General features: G+C 38.5%; 1 long non-coding RNA gene across 1 annotated transcript in view, besides 2 other annotated features; it reads left to right on the forward strand.

Annotated features, from left to right (window-relative positions):
* The first annotated feature begins 2703 nt into the window (after positions 1 to 2703).
* LINC01340 (long intergenic non-protein coding RNA 1340) overlaps positions 2704 to 21139 on the forward strand; it is a 166356-nt gene continuing 147920 nt past the window's right edge. The window contains exons 1-2 of the long non-coding RNA NR_105028.1: positions 2704 to 2800; positions 19237 to 19298. This is a non-coding gene — a long non-coding RNA (long intergenic non-protein coding RNA 1340). The remainder of the gene's footprint in view (positions 2801 to 19236; positions 19299 to 21139) is intronic.
* Positions 6783 to 7514: an enhancer, noted in NCBI's record as "NANOG hESC enhancer chr5:96844479-96845210 (GRCh37/hg19 assembly coordinates)". NCBI's record gives its function as "activates a minimal SCP1, AML or CMV promoter by ChIP-STARR-seq in naive H9 embryonic stem cells {active_cell/tissue: H9 hESC(naive)}" and the evidence as "EXISTENCE:reporter gene assay evidence [ECO:0000049][PMID:30033119]".
* Positions 17651 to 18184: an enhancer, noted in NCBI's record as "OCT4-NANOG-H3K27ac-H3K4me1 hESC enhancer chr5:96855347-96855880 (GRCh37/hg19 assembly coordinates)". NCBI's record gives its function as "activates a minimal SCP1, AML or CMV promoter by ChIP-STARR-seq in primed H9 embryonic stem cells {active_cell/tissue: H9 hESC(primed)}" and the evidence as "EXISTENCE:reporter gene assay evidence [ECO:0000049][PMID:30033119]".

Here is a 21139-nt window from a genome sequence, read left to right on the forward strand (position 1 = left end):
CATTACTGTCACAAAGTACAGAAATTCAGATTCAGCTGTCTGCTAGTCTGCCCCCACCTTCAGCCCTGGTTTCTAGTAGAGGGAATAGAAGAAGCGAGGTGAGACTAGTGATTCTGGGTAATCTTTTATCCCTTAAATTCTACGCTGCATGACTCATCAGATAAAATTGCTCCCAAGTATTCCTCCAAAGGTTTACTCAACCCTATTTTCTTCTGAAAGTAGCAAGCTATGGTGGGAAGAGATCGTTGTAGATTTTTTTTTCTCTCACTTTCTTCAAACTTATCAGTGCTGCCACCTGAACCTATAAACCTTGTTCTATAGGAGAGAAATGATATTAAATGCATTTTGGGAACAGATTTAACAATACCCTCATCCTTCTCAGACAAACAGAAAAATTATTGTGTCCCTCTACTTTCTCCAGGAGACTTAAGCTGAGTAAGGGTCTTCAGAACTAAAGAATCTCAGTCCTACTTGAGAGGCTTCATCAAGAAATGGTCATGTACATGTGGGAATAAGCAAGCATCAGAAATAACCAAAGTTAGAAGGTTTCAATGTTTCTTCTCTTCCACTTTGAAGGGTATTCAGTGGTTCTGTGGCTCCAGAAGGACTCAGTTGTGATTTCAGTGGTCATGATGGTGGCAGGCATGAACTAGTATCATGCCATCTGGGAAAATTGTCCTGACTATGTGTTTATATAATTGATGCCCACCTGCCACCAAAACTGTGAGTTCCCAGCAGTCAAGGATAGTGTCTGTCGTATTCACATTGGTAGCTTCAACACCTAGCACTGTCCTGGCACGTAGTAGGATCTGAATGGATTTTTTTGAATGAATGATTTTAATAGCAAACTGCAGGAGGTTCCTTGAACTCCACAGAATAGCCATTTCTAATACAGCTTCAGACAGGAATGTTGAAATAAATGACAACCATAGGATATAGGCAGTTGCACTTTGTCATGAAAATTTTTTTCCACTTGTTTAGGCATAAATTAGATTTTTTTCCTATAAGAAATGATCAGCCAAGGGAAATCACATTAGCAATATTTAGAAAAATAAGACATACTAGACATGGATGGATTCTTTTTAACTTTAAGTATTAAGAATTGCCATTTAACTCAAACATCTGGTAAGATATATCACTATAAATCATTTTTTGAATAACCAAAATCTTGTTTACTTATATTGCCGTTTACTTTAAGGCAGCTATTCCTCTCTATGGGCCCCATAAAGAGCATCAGAATTTTATGGAATTTATGGTCATTGTAAATACTATCATGTAGCTACTACACATCTTAGCTATACTAGTCTTTTTTAAACTAGTAAAAGAAATAAAAGAGGAGAAAACAAAGCAAAATCTGCCTTTCCTGGCATATTCATCTAAAAGAAACCTCAAACTATTATGAATACTTAACAACAGTGTCTGTGTCTGAAACAGCACAAATATTGCTCTCTGATTTTCGAACTCCCTTTGCTGAACAATCTCTAATTTTCTTCCCATCTCTCACAGCTTGCCTAAGAAGTATTTTTGCCTATAATATCATAATCATGCATTAAACAATTCTATGATTGTTGGCAATTAATATGCATGGTCCCCTCCCCCCCCCTTGCCTTCTCTTCCTTCTATTTTTGATACAGAGTCTCGCTCTGTCACCCAGGCTGGAGTGCAATGGTGCGATCTCGCCTCACTGCAACCTCCACCTCCCGGGTTCAAGCGATTCTCCTGCCTCAGCCTCCTGAGTAGCTGAGACTACAGCTGCGTGCCACCATGCCCAACTAATTTTTGTATTTTTAGTAGAGATGGGGTTTCACCATGTTGGTCAGGCTGGTCTTGAACTCCTGACCTCGTGATCTGCCCGCCTCAGCCTCCCAAAGTGCTGGGATTACAGGCGTGAGCCCCTGCACCCAGACTGCATGGTTTATTTTTCAAGAGTGAGAAACCTTCCCTTTTTTTAATCATGTTTTTTTCTTATTCACACATTTTATAAATAAATATTCAAAGACTTCTACATAAAACTTTAAAAAATATAATTGTACCGTACAGTAGTTTCATCTTTAGTGTTATTAATGAAAATCAATATTGGAATATTGGGATCAGAGCAACACAAATGCTTCCTCCATTAGTGACCCGCAATCACTAAAGATTTGATCATCAAAAAGAGGGAAATCCAGGATATCTCTAGAGATGTTTCCTCTTACAATGAGTACTGCTTCATCTCTTCAGTTGTAATTCTATTTAGACTAAACTTAATAAGGCCTTGATGGTACATGTGAAAGATGAAATTATGTAAATACCTTTGTTAGGCCTAGCTGCTCAAGAAAAGCCTTCCAGCTGAGAAATGGGAGGCATACTCTTCCTTTTCCTTAGTGCTCATGGCAAGTCTAAACCAAGTCCAAACCAAAGCTGAAACAGTGGCAACTTGTAGTTTGCATGATTGTTTATTTGTTTTCTAAGTAAGTAGAAGAAATAAGGTATTTTATAATTCAAAAATTTTAAATTTAGTAGGTTTTGAGAAGGAAAACAGTACAATAAAAAAGATAGGGGAAACAAAATATCATAATATCTGTCCTTGGATGCTTAATCGGACCCACAATCCTTTGTGTGGTATTTCTGAAGGAGCCACTAGCAAGCTTATCAGAACACCAAGTTCTGACAAAATGACAGGATCTTGTCACATGTTCCTGATAAGTGTGTGATCTTGGTCTTATTCTCAAGCTGCTGCAGAACTCGACTGCCATTGAAATGTGCAAAAGAAAAATTTCCTGGCATCTTAAAAAAAATGTCGAAGTCAGTTACTCCACAAGTAAGTCTTACCTCATTTATGAAACAACAACAAAAAAATCTAAATTCTGTTGGTTAGCTGTGAGTAGCTTTTTAGGGCTTATTTATTCAGTACATTCATTTCATTGCTTTCACATGTTAATAGCTATTCATTCACTGTTCCCTCTGAATTGCATCTTAACAAGATTATGCTCCTTTTTCTAATTTATTGAACTAGCATGGAATATATTTATATAAAAATTAGCTGCTTAAATACTTCCTTGATGAAAAACATAGCTGTTTTAATTTTATTATGAATTTTAATCAGGAAAAAAATGACCTTTGAAATTTTCTTCTACCTCATTTTATATTTGTGTGTGCTTGTGCTTCTCTCTCTTTATGTAATTAGACATCTTTATAATTTAATTAAATTTTATATAAAAAACATGTGACTGGACAGTAAAAGTTTGTTTTGAAAGAAAAATCTTAAGGAAACAGTTAATAAATTAATATGACTAACAGAAGACGGCTTGTTTTCTTTGAAAATACTAATTCTTCCAGTGCAGTGCATCTATTTCACAATAAAACATATTCTGGTTTTCTTTTGATTTAGAAAAAAAAATCCTCTGAAGCTAATCCAAAAATGCCCTGTTCTCAGTTTCTTTTGATGCAAAGTTCCAAGCCTTTTGGGGATCTACTGTAATTGTTGCCAGTCTAACAAGTGCCTCTTCATACCATACCCAAAATACCAACTCACAAAAATGGTTCTCTGATAAGAGAAACCAAATTTTTGTCTCCTGTTTGAAGATTACAAAAACCTGTATGACTGGAATGAAGCTTTAAATAAACTGGTGGTCCTTAAAGACTTTAATGTATAAAAGAATGTACCACAGAGTATTGTTAAATGTCTATTTTCAAACCCCAGCTTCAAAGAGGCTGATCCAATAGGTGTGAATTAGGGTTTAGGAATAATTTGTAATGAGTAACCTCAAGTGATTATCATGCTGGCTGTCCCAGGACCACACTGAGAATGCAGAGAATACTTATCAAGTTACTAATGCAATTATTCTTTTCAATGTTAAGATGAAAACCAATTAAGGTCATGTCAACTTTATGAAAGAAATTTGCAGGTTAGTGTGTTTGGTTGTGATTTTTCACACTTACTGCTGGCAGTGAGTTGAAGTTAAAAGATAAACTTTTTTTCTTTTGCTTTTTTTTTTTTTTTCTCACTCTGTTGTCCAAGCTGGAGTGCAGTGGCATGATCTCAGCTCACTGCAACCTCTGCCTCCCAGATTCAAGCGATTCTCCTGCCTCAGCCTTCCCAGTAGCTGGGATTACAGACATGCTCCATCATTCCCTGCTAATTTTTGTATTTTCAGTAGAGACAAGGTTTCACCATGTTGGCCAAGCTGGTCTCAAACTCCTGGCCTCAAGTGATCCACCCCACTCGGCCTCCCAAAATGTTGGGATTATAAGTGTGAGCCGGGCCAGGCACAGTGGCTCACGCCTGTAATCCCACACTTTGGGAGGTCGAGGTGGGTGGATCACGAGGTCAGGAGATCGAGACCTTCCTGGCGAGACCTTCCTGGCTTCCCACCTCTATTAAAAATACAAATAATTAGCTGGGGTATGGTGGCGGGCGCCTGTGGTCCCAGCTACTCGGGAGGCTGAGGCAGGAGAATTGCTTGAACCCGGGAGGCAGAGCTTGCAGTGAGCCGAGATCGCGCCACTGTCTCAAAAAATAAAAAATAAAACAAAATAAAATAAGTGTGAGCCACCACGCCCAGCCAAAAGATAAATTTTGGCCCATTTGTAAATTGAATCATTTGTTTTTTTTTTTTTTTTTTGCTATGGAATTGTTTGAGTTTCTTATACGTTCTGGTAGCTAATCACTTGTCAGGTGGACAATTTGCAAATATTTTCTCCCATTCTGTGTATTATCTCTTCACTTTGTTGATTGCTTACTTTTCTGTGCAGAATTGTTTAACTTGATGTAATTCCATTTGTCTATTTTTGCTTTTGTTGCCTGTGCTTTTGATGTCTTATACAAAACAAAAAAAGTCCATAGGGTTTTCCCAATGTTTTCTTCTAGTAGTTTATAGTTTTACATCTTAGATTTAAGTTTTTAACCCATTTTGAATTGATTCTTCTGTATGGTGAGTGATGGGGTCTAGTTTCATTCTTGTACATATAGTCATCTGGTTTTCCCAGCACATTTTATGAAGAAACTATCCTTTCCCCATTGTATGTTCTTTGCCTTTGCTGAAGATGAGCTGGCTGCAAATGCATGGATTTATATCTGGATTCTCCATTCTGTTCCATTGTTCTATATGTCTATTTTTGTGCCAGTACCATGCTGATTTGATTACTATAGCTTTGTAGTGAATTTCGAAATCAGGTAGTTTGATGCCTCCAGTTCTGTTCTTTTTGCTCAGGATTATTTTGGCTTTTTTTGTGGTTTAATACAAACTTTAGTTTATTTTTCTATTTCTGTGAAGAATGTTATTGATATGTTGATAGGGATTGTATTTAATCTGTAAACTACTTTTGACAGTACTACCATTTTAACAATGTTAATTCTTCCAATCCATGAGCATGGAATATCTTTCCATTTTTTGGTGTCCTCTTCTATTACTTTCATCAGTGTTTTATAGTTTTCCTTGTATAGATCTTTCACTTCTTTGGTTAAATTGATTCTCAGGTATTTTGTATCCTTGGTGGCTATTGCAAATGGGATTGCTTTCTTTATTTCTTCTTTAGATTGCCCACTGTTGGCATATATAAATGCTACTGGTTTGGTATGTTGATATTGTATCCTGCAACTTTACTGAATTTATTTTTGGTGACGTCTTTAGGTTTTTCTAAGTATAAGATCATGTTATGTGTGAATCTGAATAGACATTTCTTAAAAGAAGACATACAAATGGCCATTAGGTAAATGGAAAAAATGCTTAACATCAGTAACCAAATGCAAATCAGAATTACAATGAGATATCATCTCACTCCTGTTAAAATGGCCTTTATGAAAACAAAAAAGAAACAAAAAATCTCAGGCAATAACAGACACTGGTGAGGATGTAAAAAAAGAAGAATACTTGTACACTGTTGGTGGGAATCTAAATTAGTACAGCCCCTATGGAGAACAGCATAGAGGTTCCTCAGAAATTGAAAGATAGAACTACCATAAGATCCAGCAATTCCACTACTGGTCATATTGCTTACAAAAGGGAAATCCAGTATATTGAAAAGATATCTGCACTCCATGTTTATTTGAGCACTAACCATAATAGCCAAAAGGTGGAATAAACCTAAGTGCCCATCAGGGAATGAATGGATAAAGAAAATATGGTCTATACATACAATAGAATATTGTTAATCCATTAAAAAAGCATGAAATCCTGTCATATGTTAGCAACATGGATGGAACTGGAGGTCATTATATTAAATGACATAAGTGAAATGCACAAAGTCAAATATTCCATATTCTTATTCATATGTGTGTGTTTAAACTTGTTTCTCATAAACATAGATAATCAATTTGTGGTTGCCAGAGGCCAAGAAGGTAAGGGGGAGGAGGATTTGAAGAAAAGGTGATTAGTGGGTACAAATATGTGGTTTGATGGAAGAAATAAGAATTAGTGTTAGATAGATCAGTAGAGTAACTATAGTTCACAATAATGTATTTACATTTTGAAAGAGCTAAAAGAGAATAATTCAAATGGTTCTAGTATTAAAAAAAAGAAAACTATTTAAGTGGGTAGATATCCCAGGTACACTATTTTGATGTTTACACTTTATATCAATATATTACATTTTCACATGTACTCCCAAACCATGTACATCTATTATGCATCAGTAAACATTTTTTGAAAAAAGATAAGAAAGACAGAAAACATAAATGTGGTCATCTTAAAATGGAGATGCTTGGCTGTGTGTGTGTGTGTGTGTGTGTGTGTGTGTGTCTGTGTGAGTCTAGTAATGGAAACTTCCCTTGGCTTAACTGGTACTCATAAGACAAAGTAATCCATTTTGTTGCTGTTGTTGATTTATCAGAAAATGTAACATCACAGGGATTATGTTTGAAAATTATAGGTAATTTAAGAAACTAATTGGTAACAAACATTTTCCAATTTGCACCACTTTATCATGCAACTATTCTCCTTAACCCCGAAGATAACTTTTCACTTTTCAATGTTTTTACTTTCAGTGAGTTTTTAATGCCTATTCATCACATCATGACCACAGGGTAGAATTACAAGTCATTTTCCAAGAGAAAGAACCATTGGACCTTAGAACAAAAAGGAAACAAAGCATTTAGTTTAATGGCCATGTTTAACATAAGAATCTGATTTGTTAGAGTCCTTAAGTGTCTGTCTAACTTCCCCAGAAAGCTTAGAGCCTGAAGCAAATGTTTATGTGATATTAATTTATTAAGGAGTACAATCTCAGGGAAGCAGGATGTGGGGGAAGGAGAGAGAAGGAGGGAATGTGTTACCCAGCTGCCTACCACTTGGTACAGATTCAGACGATTAGTTGATTTTGCAGGACCATATTCTGAGAGGGCATATGAACAAATGTTTCTCAAATAAGCCTGTCCACAGGTAGGAGAAGAGATGAATTTCTCCACTGCTTTCTACCTCCCATTGGTCATAGTTTTGCTCCACGGATGTCAATTCTCTTGTATTTCCAGGCTACAAACTTCATCACTGACAGAATTCCTGGGGCAATAAGTCAGAGTTCTGTAGTGCAGTCAGGAGACTAACAACTTTGTGCCCTATGAGGTTAGTAGCTCAGTGGAGCTGGATGGAGCTCATGCAGAGTTTTTGGCCATGGCAATGCCTCAGATAAAACAAGTGGCCAAGGGCCTCAGAGATAAGCAAGGCTCTTAGGAGGCAGAAAGGAGGGAGGTTTGATCCAATTAAGTTTCCTGTGGGTATGGCAGAATCAAGGGTAAAACATGCTTATGTGAAATGCATTTTTAAAAATTCTGATCATAATTTTTTAACCATGGCAAACAAGAAAAAGGAAAGCAGATGACTTTTGCATTGATGTTGTTTCCTTCAGAAAAATGTATTTTATGTTCTTAAGAAAAAGAAGCAACTGGCATATGTTTCTGACAATATGGCAGATTAGAATTGAAAAATCTTCTTTGCATAACATACTAGATAAAAAGGTAGCCAACATACCTTTAAATTTGTAGTGAAACAAGTGAAAAAGTAAGGACATTGAACTATATTAAGAATAGGAACTTCTGTTGATCAAAAGGCATTATTAAGAGATTGAAAGTGCAAGATAGAAGGGAAGAAAATCATAAATAACAAAAACTGTTTATATTCAAAGTATATAAAAGGCTCCTGTAAAACAATATACATTTCCAAAAAGTTTAGATGAACCCACTAGTAAAATGGCTTGATTTTTTTCCCCAAAGGTTATTTATGTTCAAATGTTCAATGAGGATGTGAAAATGTTCTCTGCACTAACAGGGACATGTAAATTAAAACTGCAAGGAGATACCAGCACACACTCACCAGACTACCTAAACTTAAAAAGACTGGGAATGGTAAGGATGCTGATGGGTTTAAGGACACTCTACTCCAAATATGGCCCCATGGCATATTGAATATTTTAATCTGAGGAAGTTAGAGAAATGACAAGTGCAGGAAGGAGTTTCTAGTCTTCTCCTGAAGCAGGTCATAAGCCCCTCATGTGAAGGAGTCCCCCACTTTTCCTGCAAAAGCAGCATCCTTATCTCTGAAGACAGATGGATGCCAAGAAGAATCTGAGTGACAAGGTCTTGCTAAGTTTCCCCCAGTCAACTACCCTCAGCTTGTATCCCTTTTTGTCCTATCTCATTTGCCTACAACTCTCTGCTTTTCATTAAACTCAGTATAAAAACACTGAGGTTTAATTGTTTCTTCAGGTCTTCCTTTCATTATGAAAGCTCCCGTGTTGTAAAACATAGATTAAATACATTTTTGTGCTTTTCTCTTGTTAATTTTTTTGTTGTTGTTATAGAGCCCTCAGCAGAGAAATTAGAAGGGTAGAAGAGAATCCTTACCATGTGAAATAACTGGAATTCTACAATTTGCTGGTGGTATATATCAGCACAACTATTATGGAAAACTGTTTGGTAGTATTACCAATGAAGAGGTTCAAAATATGCCACCTCAAAATATATCATTTTGGAAAATGGAATGTTTTGAGCTAAAGGCAATTGAGAACTAGCAGGCCCAGAAAAAGCTTTTAATTTCCTCCTTAACCACTTATAATAGTGTATAAATTTCCACTTTTGTAAAAGAAATTTTCATCAGTAAAAATATCTGTATTAGGAAGACAGTTACTCTCAGAGACAATTTTTATCACCTGAGAGACTCTTCAAGGCATAGCAAGGCAACTTTTATTAACTATACTTTTCCTCCTCTCACACTCCCATAATTTACCTCCTCCCCCATACCCAGAAGCCCCAAATCGCTGTTTCTTTGCATAGCCCAGGACAATATATGTCTCAGTGGAGTCTCAGCAGTCTTAGGCTACTTCAAGTCTCATATATTTTTGTGAAACTTCCATGCATACTTATATTTGTGATAATTTTTTTTCCTTCTGTTATCCTGTGTTATGTCAAATTAACTCTTAAGGCAGCCAGAGAACCTAGAAGGGTAGAAGAAAGCTTTTTTTGTTCCCTACACTGGCCTTAAGAATATGTGTATCCTATGATCCAGAAATTCCATTTCTAGCATACACCTGTGAAAGAAAAATAACTTGGGCCCCTTCAAGCTAGAAACTGCTCAGGGCAAATCTGCCTCCCATTCTATTCAAAGTCATCCCTCTACCCACAGAGACAGATGCATATTCTGATTGCCTCCTTTGGAATGACTTACCAGAAACTCAAAATAATGCAACCATTTCTCTCTCACCTACCTATGGCCTGGAAGTCCCCAGGGGAAGACTTGCTTTGAGTTGTCTCCACCTTTCTGGATGGAAGTACTGTACTTCTTACATATATTGATTGATGTCTCATGTCTCCCTAAAATGTATAAAACCAAGCTATGCCCCGACCACCTTAGGCACATGTTGTCAGCACTTCCTGAGGCTATGTCATGAGCATGTCCTCAACCTTGGTGACCATTAATGTCCTCTAGCTCAGGATTCAGTTCTTTGTGATCTACATTCACTCAAACTGGGAGAGTTCCATTGTCTCCTCAGGTTCACAGTTTTAGCAAAGTCTCTTTCAGATAGCCTCAAGTCAGCTTTACTTTTTATCCACTGTGATGGCTTCCAATTACAACTAGTCTCTCTCTTTTTGGTAGCAGTATTTAAAAACCCTGAAACAGTTTTTTGAACAGAGATTTCCTTCAAAATATGAAAGGCATTAATCTTCTATTTGTTACAACAGTGAAAAATTTTTTCTTTCCAGAAAGGTGTACCTAAAATAACAGATAACAGTCATGATACATCAAGAGATGTATTTCCCCCAAGAGAATGGAAAATACATTCTTAAAAGCATGGTGAATATTAAGGGGGCTTTCATTTTACAAAGGAGAATTTAAATGGTCAAAGGTCTTCTGGGACACATATCTGCCTCATGGGGTTGTTAATATTAGAAATAAGAACAGTGAAGTTCCTGGTGCATAGTGGGTGCTAAGTCATTTATTATTAATTTCAGATTCCTTCCTCCAGGGAACTTTTGTACCAGCTTCTAAAATTATACTTTGGAAGGCAATTAATTTTAGTTTCTTATTTGATTCAGCCTTTAATTCACATTCATTCAATTTTCTTAGTTGTGAAAGCAGTGGAGTAGAAATACCAAATAATTGACTAAAGGAAGACTATTTCTTACATTAGATATATTACTGTACTACATTAGCTCCTGAATTTCTCCATGATTCTGACATTTCACTGAGTTTGGACTGGGAGTTTCACCATGTGGTAAAACTCTCTTCAGAGAGTTCTGGCTTGCGATATTGAAATTTCTGTATGCCCCTCATCTCATGATAAGATCTCTATATAAATGATGGCTTTGTTTAAAACAAAAGTACAACTTCGCTCAAGGTAAGCAGCCCTTGACTCAATTAGAAAAAGATTGAATTGAAAAGCAAAAATGTATTGCTTTTCTTGCCCCTCGTTCCTCCAGCAAAGAAAATCAGAGTTGGGAAATGCTCTAAACTGATTCTGCCTGATGGCTGAGCATGGAGTTTACCTTTGTGAAAAGGGAGAAATCAATAGAGATGACAAGGAAAGTTATACTTTTTAATAGCACTCTGGGGAATGAGAGGTGAGTTTGTGACCATTGGCATCACAGATTTGTGTGACAACCTGATGTTCTGTTTCACGCTTAGAGACCCACCACACAGCCACATTCTCTACACAAACATCCTTCGAAAAAAAATTGTAGAAATATACAGCTAAGAACATGCATATGGTATAGAGCTTAGACCATACTTTAGGATCAATCTGACTTGGCTTTGAATCCTGACTTTGCTACTTCCTAACTGAAGGTGATAAACAGTGATTAGCATTTTCAAAAGCTTGGTGGTGGAAGCCAAGCAAAACTTAAGGTTGAGGAAGAGTTATGGGAGGAAGATTAATATAACAGAGCTTGAGCATGTTTATAACCTGAAGACCAGGAGAATTTAAAGAGGGTGTAGAGGGAGTATTTACTTAAGTTAATGTTTCCTTGTGTGAAAAACCGGCGTAACACAGATCTATTCAAGGTTGATACTGGAATTAAATTATTTTGTATGTATCATATATATGTATACATATTATTTTAATCTGTTTTGTGATACTATAACAAAATACCACAGAGTGGGTAATTTACAAAGAGCAGAAATTTATTTCTGACAGTTCTGGAGGTTTGGAAGTCCAAGATCAAGGTGCTGGCATCTGGTGTCTGTTAAGAGCTGGGTCTCTACTCCCAAGATGGTGTCTTGAATGCCATATCCTCCAGAGCAGGTGAAAACTGTTCCTACATGGCAGAAGAGCAGAAGAGGAGAAACCCACTTCTGCAAGCCCTTCTTATAGTGGCACTCATCCATTAATGAGGGCTCTCCTCATGACATAAACACCTCCCATTAGACTCCACCTCCCAACACTGTTGCTTTGGGGATTAACTTTCTTTTTTTTTTTTTTGATTTATTTATTTATTTATTTATTTATTTATTTATTTATTTATTTTAATTATACTTTAAGTTTTAGGGTACATGTGCACATTGTGCAGGTTAGTTACATATGTATACATGTGCCATGCTGGTGCGCTGCACCCACTAACTCGTCATCTAGCATTAGGTATATCTCCCAGTGCTATCCCTCCCCCCTCCCACCTCCCCACCACAGTCCCCAGAGTGTGATATTCCCCTTCCTGTGTCCATGTGATCTCATTGTTCAATTCCCACCTATGAGTGAGAATATGCGGTGTTTGGTTTTTTGTTCTTGCGATAGTTTACTGAGAATGATGGTTTCCAATTTCATGCATGTCCCTACAAAGGACATGAACTCATCATTTTTTATGGCTGCATAATATTCCATGGTGTATATGTGCCACATTTTCTTAATCCAGTCTATCATTGTTGGACATTTGGGTTGGTTCCAAGTCTTTGCTATTGTGAATAATGCCGCAATAAACATACGTATGCATGTGTCTTTATAGCAGCATGATTTATAGTCATTTGGGTATATACCCAGTAATGGGATGGCTGGGTCAAATGGTATTTCTAGTTCTAGATCCCTGAGGAATCGCCACACTGACTTCCACAATGGTTGAACTAGTTTACAGTCCCACCAACAGTGTAAAAGTATTCCTATTTCTCCACATCCTCTCCAGCACCTGTTGTTTCCTGACTTTTGAATGATTGCCATTCTAACTGGTGTGAGATGATATCTCATAGTGGTTTTGATTTGCATTTCTCTGATGGCCAGTGATGATGAGCATTTTTTCATGTGTTTTTTGGCTGCATAAATGTCTTCTTTTGAGAAGTGTCTGTTCATGTCTTTTGCCCAATTTTGATGGGGTTGTTTGCTCTTTTCTTGTAAATTTGTTTGAGTTCATTGTAGATTCTGGATATTAGCCCTTTGTCAGATGAGTAGGTTGCAAAAATTTTCTCCCATTTTGTAGGTTGCCTGTTCACTCTGATGGTAGTTTCTTTTGCTGTGCAGAAGCTCTTTAGTTTAATTAGATCCCATTTGTCAATTTTGGCTTTTGTTGCCATTGCTTTTGGTGTTTTGGACATGAAGTCCTTGCCCACGCCTATGTCCTGAATGGTAATGCCTAGGTTTTCTTCTAGGGTTTTTATGGTTTTAGGTCTAACGTTTAAGTCTTTAATCCATCTTGAATTGATTTTTGTATAAGTTGTAAGGAAGGGATCCAGTGTCAGCTTTCTACATATGGCTAGCCAGTTTTCCCAGCACCATTTATTAAATAGGGAATCCTTTCCCCATTGCTTGTTTTTCTCAGGTTTGTCAAAGATCAGATAGTTGTAGGTAAGCGGCGTTATTTCTGAGGGCTCTTTTCTGTTCCATTGATCTATATCTCTGTTTTGGTACCAGTACCATGCTGTTTTGGTTACTGTAGCCTTGTAGTATAGTTTGAAGTCAGGTAGTGTGATGCCTCCAGCTTTGTTCTTTTGGCTTAGGATTGGCTTGGTGATGTGGGCTCTTTTTTGGTTCCATATGAACTTTAAAGTAGTTTTTTCCAATTCTGTGAAGAAAGTCATTGGTAGCTTGATGGGGGTGGCACTGAATCTGTAAATTACCTTGGGCAGTATGGCCATTTTCACGATATTGATTCGTCCTACCCATGAGCATGGAATGTTCTTCCATTTGTTTGTATCCTCTTTTATTTCCTTGAGCAGTGGCTTGTAGTTCTCCTTAAAGAGGTCCTTCACATCCCTTGTAAGTTGGATTCCTAGGTATTTTATTCTCTTTGGAGCAATTGTGAATGGGAGTTCACTCATGATTTGGCTCTCTGTTTGTCTGTTGTTGGTGTATAGGAATGCTTGTGATTTTTGTACATTGATTTTGTATCCTGAGACTTTGCTGAAGTTGCTTATCAGCTTCAGGAGATTTTGGGCTGAGACGATGGGGTTTTCTAGATAAACAATCATGTCGTCTGCAAACAGGGACAATTTGACTTCCTCTTTTCCTAATTGAATACCCTTTATTTCCTTCTCCTGCCTGATTGCCCTGGCCAGAACTTCCAACACTATGTTGAATAGGAGCGGTGAGAGAGGGCATCCCTGTCTTGTGCCAGTTTTCAAAGGGAATGCTTCCAGTTTTTGCCCATTCAGTATGATATTGGCTGTGGGTTTGTCATAGATAGCTCTTATTATTTTGAGATATGTCCCATCAATACCTAATTTATTGAGAGTTTTTAGCATGAAGGGTTGTTGAATTTTGTCAAAAGCTTTTTCTGCATCTATTGAGATAATCATGTGGTTTTTGTCTTTGGCTCTGTTTATATGCTGGATTACATTTATTGATTTGCGTATATTGAACCAGCCTTGCATCCCAGGGATGAAGCCCACTTGATCATGGTGGATAAGCTTTTTGATGTGCTGCTGGATTCATTTTGCCAGTATTTTATTGAGGATTTTTGCATCAATGTTCATCAAGGATATTGGTCTAAAATTCTCTTTTTTGGTTGTGTCTCTGCCAGGCTTTGGTATCAGAATGATGCTGGCCTCATAAAATGAGTTAGGGAGGATTCCCTCTTTTTCTATTGATTGGAATAGTTTCAGAAGGAATGGTACCAGTTCCTCCTTGTACCTCTGGTAGAATTCGGCTGTGAATCCATCTGGTCCTGGAGTCTTTTTGGTTGGTAAACTACTGATTATTGCCACAATTTCAGCTCCTGTTATTGGTCTATTCAGAGATTCAACTTCTTCCTGGTTTAGTCTTGGGAGAGTGTATGTGTCCAGGAATTTATCCATTTCTTCTAGATTTTCTAGTTTATTTGCATAGAGGTGTTTGTAGTATTCTCTGATGGTAGTTTGTATTTCTGTGGGATCGGTGGTGATATCCCCTTTATCATTTTTTATTGTGTCTATTTGATTCTTCTCTCTTTTTTTCTTTATTAGTCTTGCTAGCGGTCTATCAATTTTGTTGATCCTTCCAAAAAACCAGCTCCTGGATTCATTGATTTTTTGAAGGGTTTTTTGTGTCTCTATTTCCTTCAGTTCTGCTCTGATTTTAGTTATTTCTTGCCTTGTGCTAGCTTTTGAATGTGTTTGCTCTTGCTTTTCTAGTTCTGTTAATTGTGATGTTAGGGTGTCAATTTTGGATCTTTCCTGCTTTCTCTTGTGGGCATTTAGTGCTATAAATTTCCCTCTACACACTGCTTTGAATGCGTCCCAGAGATTCTGGTATGTTGTGTCTTTGTTCTCGTTGGTTTCAAAGAACATCTTTATTTCTGCCTTCATTTCGTTATGTACCCAGTAGTCATTCAGGAGCAGGTTGTTCAGTTTCCAGGTAGTTGAGCGGCTTTGAGTGAGATTCTTAATCCTGAGTTCTAGTTTGATTGTACTGTGGTCTGAGAGTTAGTTTGTTATAATTTCTGTTCTTTTACATTTGCTGAAGAGAGCTTTACTTCCAACTGTGTGGTCAATTTTGGAATAGGTGTGGTGTGGTGCTGAAAAAAATGTGTATTCTGTTGATTTGGGGTGGAGAGTTCTGTAGATGTCTATTAGGTCCGCTTGGTGAAGAGCTGAGTTCAATTCCTGGGTATCCTTGTTGACTTTCTGTGTCGTTGATCTGTCTAATGTTGACAGTGGGGTGTTAAAGTCTCCCATTATTAATGTGTGGGAGTCTAAGTCTCTTTGTAGGTCACTCAGGACTTGCTTTATGAATCTGGGTGCTCCTGTATTGGGTCCATATATATTTAGGATAGTTAGCTCCTCTTGTTGAATTGATCCCTTTACCATTATGTAATGGCCTTCTTTGTCTCTTCTGATCTTTGTTGGTTTAAAGTCTGTTTTATCAGAGACTAGGATTGCAACCCCTGCCTTTTTTTGTTTTCCATTTGCTTGGTAGATCTTCCTCCATCCTTTTATTTTGAGCCTATGTGTGTCTCTGCACGTGAGATGGGTTTCCTGAATACAGCACACTGATGGGTCTTGACTCTTTATCCAACTTGCCAGTCTGTGTCTTTTAATTGGAGCATTTAGTCCATTTACATTTAAAGTTAATATTGTTTTGTGTGAATTTGATCCTGTCATTATGATGTTAGCTGGTGATTTTGCTCGTTAGTTGATGCAGTTTCTTCCTAGTCTCGATGGTCTTTACATTTTGGCATGATTTTGCAGCAGCTGGTACCGGTTGTTCCTTTCCATGTTTAGCGCTTCCTTCAGGAGCTCTTTTAGGGCAGGCCTGGTGGTGACAAAATCTCTCAGCATTTGCTTGTCTGTAAAGTATTTTATTTCTCCTTCACTTATGAAGCTTAGTTTGGCTGGATATGAAATTCTGGGTTGAAAATTCTTTTCTTTAAGAATGTTGAATATTGGCCCCCACTCTCTTCTGGCTTGTAGGGTTTCTGCCGAGAGATCCGCTGTTAGTCTGATGGGCTTCCCTTTGAGGGTAACCCGACCTTTCTCTCTGGCTGCCCTTAACATTTTTTCCTTCATTTCAACTTTGGTGAATCTGACAATTATGTGTCTTGGAGTTGCTCTTCTCGAGGAGTATCTTTGTGGCGTTCTCTGTATTTCCTGAATCTGAATGTTGGCCTGCCTTGCTAGATTGGGGAAGTTCTCCTGGATAATATCCTGCAGAGTGTTTTCCAACTTGGTTCCATTCTCCGCATCACTTTCAGGTACACCAATCAGATGTAGATTTGGTCTTTTCACATAGTCCCATATTTCTTGGAGGCTTTGCTCATTTCTTTTTATTCTTTTTTCTCTAAACTTCCCTTCTCACTTCATTTCATTCATTTCATCTTCCATCACTGATACCCTTTCTTCCAGTTGATCGCATCGGCTCCTGAGGCTTCTGCATTCTTCACATAGTTCTCGAGCCTTGGTTTTCAGCTCCATCAGCTCCTTTAAGCACTTCTCTGTATTGGTTATTCTAGTTATACATTCTTCTAAATTTTTTTCAAAGTTTCCAACTTCTTTGCCTTTGGTTTGAATGTCCTCCCGTAGCTCAGGGTAATTTGATTGTCTGAAGCCTTCTTCTCTCAGCTCGTCAAAGTCATTCTCCATCCAGCTTTGTTCCGTTGCTGGTGAGGAACTGCGTTCCTTTGGAGGAGGAGAGGCACTCTGCTTTTTAGAGTTTCCAGTTTTTCTGTTCTGTTTTTTCCCCATCTTTGTGGTTTTATCTACTTTTGGTCTTTGATGATGGTGATGTACAGATGGGTTTTTCGTGTGGATGTCCTTTCTGTTTGTTAGTTTTCCTTCTAACAGACAGGACCCTCAGCTGCAGGTCTGTTGGAATACCCTGCCGTGTGAGGTGTCAGTGTGCCCCTGCTGGGGGGTGCCTCCCAGTTAGGCTGCCCAGGGGTCAGGGGTCAGGGACCCACTTGAGTAGGCAGTCTGCCCGTTCTCAGATCTCCAGCTGCGTGCTGGGAGAACCACTGCTCTCTTCAAAGCTGTCAGACAGGGACATTTAAGTCTGCAGAGGTTACTGCTGTCTTTTTGTTTGTCTGTGCCCTGCCCCCAGAGGTGGAGCCTACAGAGGCAGGCAGGCCTCCTTGAGCTGTGGTGGGCTCCACCCAGTTGGAGCTTTCCGGCTGCTTTGTTTACCTAATCAAGCCTGGGCAATGGCGGGCGCCCCTCCCCCAGCCTCGCTGCAGCCTTGCAGTTTGATCTCAGACTGCTGTGCTAGCAATCAAGGAGACTCCGTGGGGGTAGGACCCTCCGAGCCAGGTGTGGGATATAATCTCGTGGTGCGCCGTTTTTTAAGCCGGTCGGAAAAGCGCAGTATTCGGGTGTGAGTGACCCGATTTTCCAGGTGCCGTCTGTCACCCCTTTCTTTGACTCAGAAAGGGAACTCCCTGACCCCTTGCGCTTCCCAAGTGAGGCAATGCCTCACCCTGCTTCGGCTGGTGCACGGTGCACGCACCCACTGACCTGCGCCCACTTTCTGGCACTCCCTAGTGAGATGAACCCGGTACCTCAGATGGAAATGCAGAAATCATCCGTCTTCTGTGTCGCTCACGCTGGGAGCTGTAGACGGGAGCTGTTCCTATTCGGCCATCTTGGCTCCTCCCCACTCATACTTTCTTTCTAATCTGTGCCTCTAATCGGAGAATATTGGCGATATGACATGCCACAGTTATTTGTGACAAGAAGCCATGGATCCTTTCATTCTCTGCCCCTCCACCCATATCTATTGATCTATCTATCTATTGATCTGTCATCTATCTATTCATCCATTCATCTATATTCTTGTTATTATCTTACAGACAGGAGCCTTAAAGAAACGACTTGATCATTATTCCAGGTTAAAAAAATGAGCCACAATTCCCCTGGTCATGAAGTTATAATTCTAGCCTCTTCTCTATTAAATTGCTCTCAGGTAATAATTTAGAGAGTAATTGGCACAAACCTTACAAATAGTTTTCTATTTTTAACTCTATCCCCCTTGTGGTACCTGGGTAGACTTTGTGCTCATTAGTCTTTGGCTCCTACTGATCTTGTGCTGTGTTGGCAGTCATGTGATAGACCTCTGCACACGATGCTGGGGGGAAATCTAGCCTTTATTTCTGCAGCCTAATGACAGTGAGAGCCAAGAGATGAGTACATTTGAGGAGTCAAAATGCTTCTGTGTCAGAACTTTATGGCAAGAGAAAGAAAGTTGGGACACTGGTTATTTTCTGGGACATCAGCTACTGATTTATGAACTTGATGGGACCTCCCTACTTATTACTTTACAATGAAATGAAGGTTATTTTAAATGTTGATTGTTAGGTTGTAATGTCCCTCCCCCCACCCCGTTTTCATTAGAAATGTCATTTACAGATTGTTACTTGACACACAGTAAAATGTGTGGAGTTTTTGAGCAGTTAAAAAAGAGGATTGCACCACAGGGGCCACTGTAAGATTTGTAACAGAGCTCTGCCGAAGGTATTTTACTCCTTGATTTCAGCAATGATAAACCTAGGTTTATTTTTGTTTGTTTGTTTTTTTAGAAGAATAAATCATGAAAAAAAGGAAAAGGAGTAGTACTGGTGTGACCTTAAGTCAACTAAAAGTAAGCTACTGGTATCAGGAAGAAAGAGAAAAGATGTAGGAAAGCCTAATGAACTGCTGATGTGAGACCTGAAGAGTCAAAAAACAGGTCTAAGGCTAATGATGTGGTGAGGATGGAGAGATTAGGAACCCTGAGCAGGTCTCAGGACACATGATGGATCCAAGGAAAGTGTTTATTTGCCAACCTGTGGGAAAGGTATGGAAGCCATTTAAAGATTGGTATTTTCTGAAATAAATTTCTACTAGCAGTCTGCAGATGAAAAGACCTATTATATTGTCGTCAACCCATTAAATTTTATCCTAGGCCCTGTTTGTAAGAGTCCTTGAAAAGAGAAGCATCAGTTTTCCAATATGAAGTAAATGGAGGTAAGATGAACTTACCTACCCTCTTCCTTACTCTCCAAACAGTCGTCAAGCTCATGCAGTAAGTATCTGGATGGAGGTTACAACTACGACAGCATCTCAAAGAGAAAGCATTGTGCAGTGGTAGGTTATGGGTTTGGATTTGGTGTAAACTGGAGCCAGGTTTGAATTCTGGGTCTGTAACTTGCAAACTGCTCTTTGAGCTTCAGATTCCTTATGGCTGAAATGGGGTTAACAATATTGACCTCACATTATTGTGAAGATTAAATATTAAATGAACTCATGCATTTAAAACATTGAGTAAAATGCTAAATCTAGAGAAGGTACTCAGAGGTTGCATTTACTGTTATTTACTTCATCAGTGTCAAGTCATGTGTTCAACAATCAGAAGCGTAACTCAGAATCTCCTGGAAAGTGGAACAGACATTTATATTTTGATTCTAGAGATTCTGATGCACGCAAGGGCTAAGAACATTGGCCTTGGGGTCTGTGACTTGCTGCAATTTCCTTGGACCTGGGCTATACCCAACTGTGGAAACACAAGGTGATAGGAAGCCCTTGGGATGCTGCATTGGGTGATGGGGAGCTCCCTGATGCCTCTCTGCATGGCTGGTGTGAAGTCATGAAGATAACAGAAAAATCTATGTTCTCCCCTCTAAAAAATTTACCCCTCAAATGCAGAATAATACTGCTTTTTGGGTATCTATTTCTAAAGATTTCCCCTAATATTTGCCTTAAAGTTGTATCTTCTCTAAGAGTATTGTTGCCCTGGGCCCCTATGTCATCTCTGTCTTTGTCCCAATACAGAATTTTTTTTTTTTTTTTTTTTTTTTTTTAGATGGAGTTTTGCTCTTGTCACCCAGGCTGGAGTGCAATGACGTGATCTCGGCTCACTGCAACCTCCACCTCCTGGGTTCAAGTGATTCTCCTGCCTCAGCCTCCCGAGTAGCTGGGATTACAGGCACCCACCATCATGCCCAGCTAATTTTTGTATTTTTAGTAGAGACAGGGTTTTGCCATGTTGGCCAGGCTGGTCTCGAACTCCTGACCTCAAGTTATCCACCCACCTCGGCCTCCTAAAGTGCTGGGATTACAGGCATGAGCCACTGCTTGGAACTCTGAGGGTTAACCTATTAAGCCAGTTCAGGACAGTAACTGAATCTAAAATTTCAAAAAAAGCTCTTAGAATTTCATGCCTCTTCTATCAAAGGCATCGAATATTATATGATTTATGCCCATGAGTGATGGTTTGTGTTTTCATTTACAAACTGCCAACATAACCACCCATCTCCAAAGCTTTTGTCTGTTTTAAGCTGACAGAAATAAATTAAGATTGCCGAAGTGGCAGTGGGAATGGAAAGGAGAGGATGGATTCATGACCTATTTAGAGGGTACAATTGACAGGTTTTACTGGAAAGGAGAGTGAGTATTGAGCTTAACACTCAAATTTCAAAATTGTGCAACTAGATGGATAATGGTCATAATTCACTAAAATAGGACACAGGGCCAGGAGCAGATTTTGGGTTGCATTATTTAAATTCAGATAAGTTTTGTTAAGTATAAAGTGCCAAATGGGATGACTGGTAATAATTGTACACATGGTTTGGGGCTAAAAAATCAAGCCTAGATTCATGGTCTAGAAAACTTGGATTAATCATATCAAGAGGATTTGGCAATGTGCAATTAATTGTATATATTTAACTGCTAGAACATGTTGTTATAATATTAGATACATTGTGTGTATTTTTTCTTAATTTTTTAAAAAATTTAATTTTTAATTGTTATGGTACATAGTAGGTATATATACTTATGAGTACATGAGGTATTTTGATAAAGGCATACAC

The sequence above is a fragment of the Homo sapiens genome, chromosome 5 (genome assembly GCF_000001405.40).
Source record: "Homo sapiens chromosome 5, GRCh38.p14 Primary Assembly".
Classification (NCBI taxonomy): domain Eukaryota; kingdom Metazoa; phylum Chordata; class Mammalia; order Primates; family Hominidae; genus Homo; species Homo sapiens.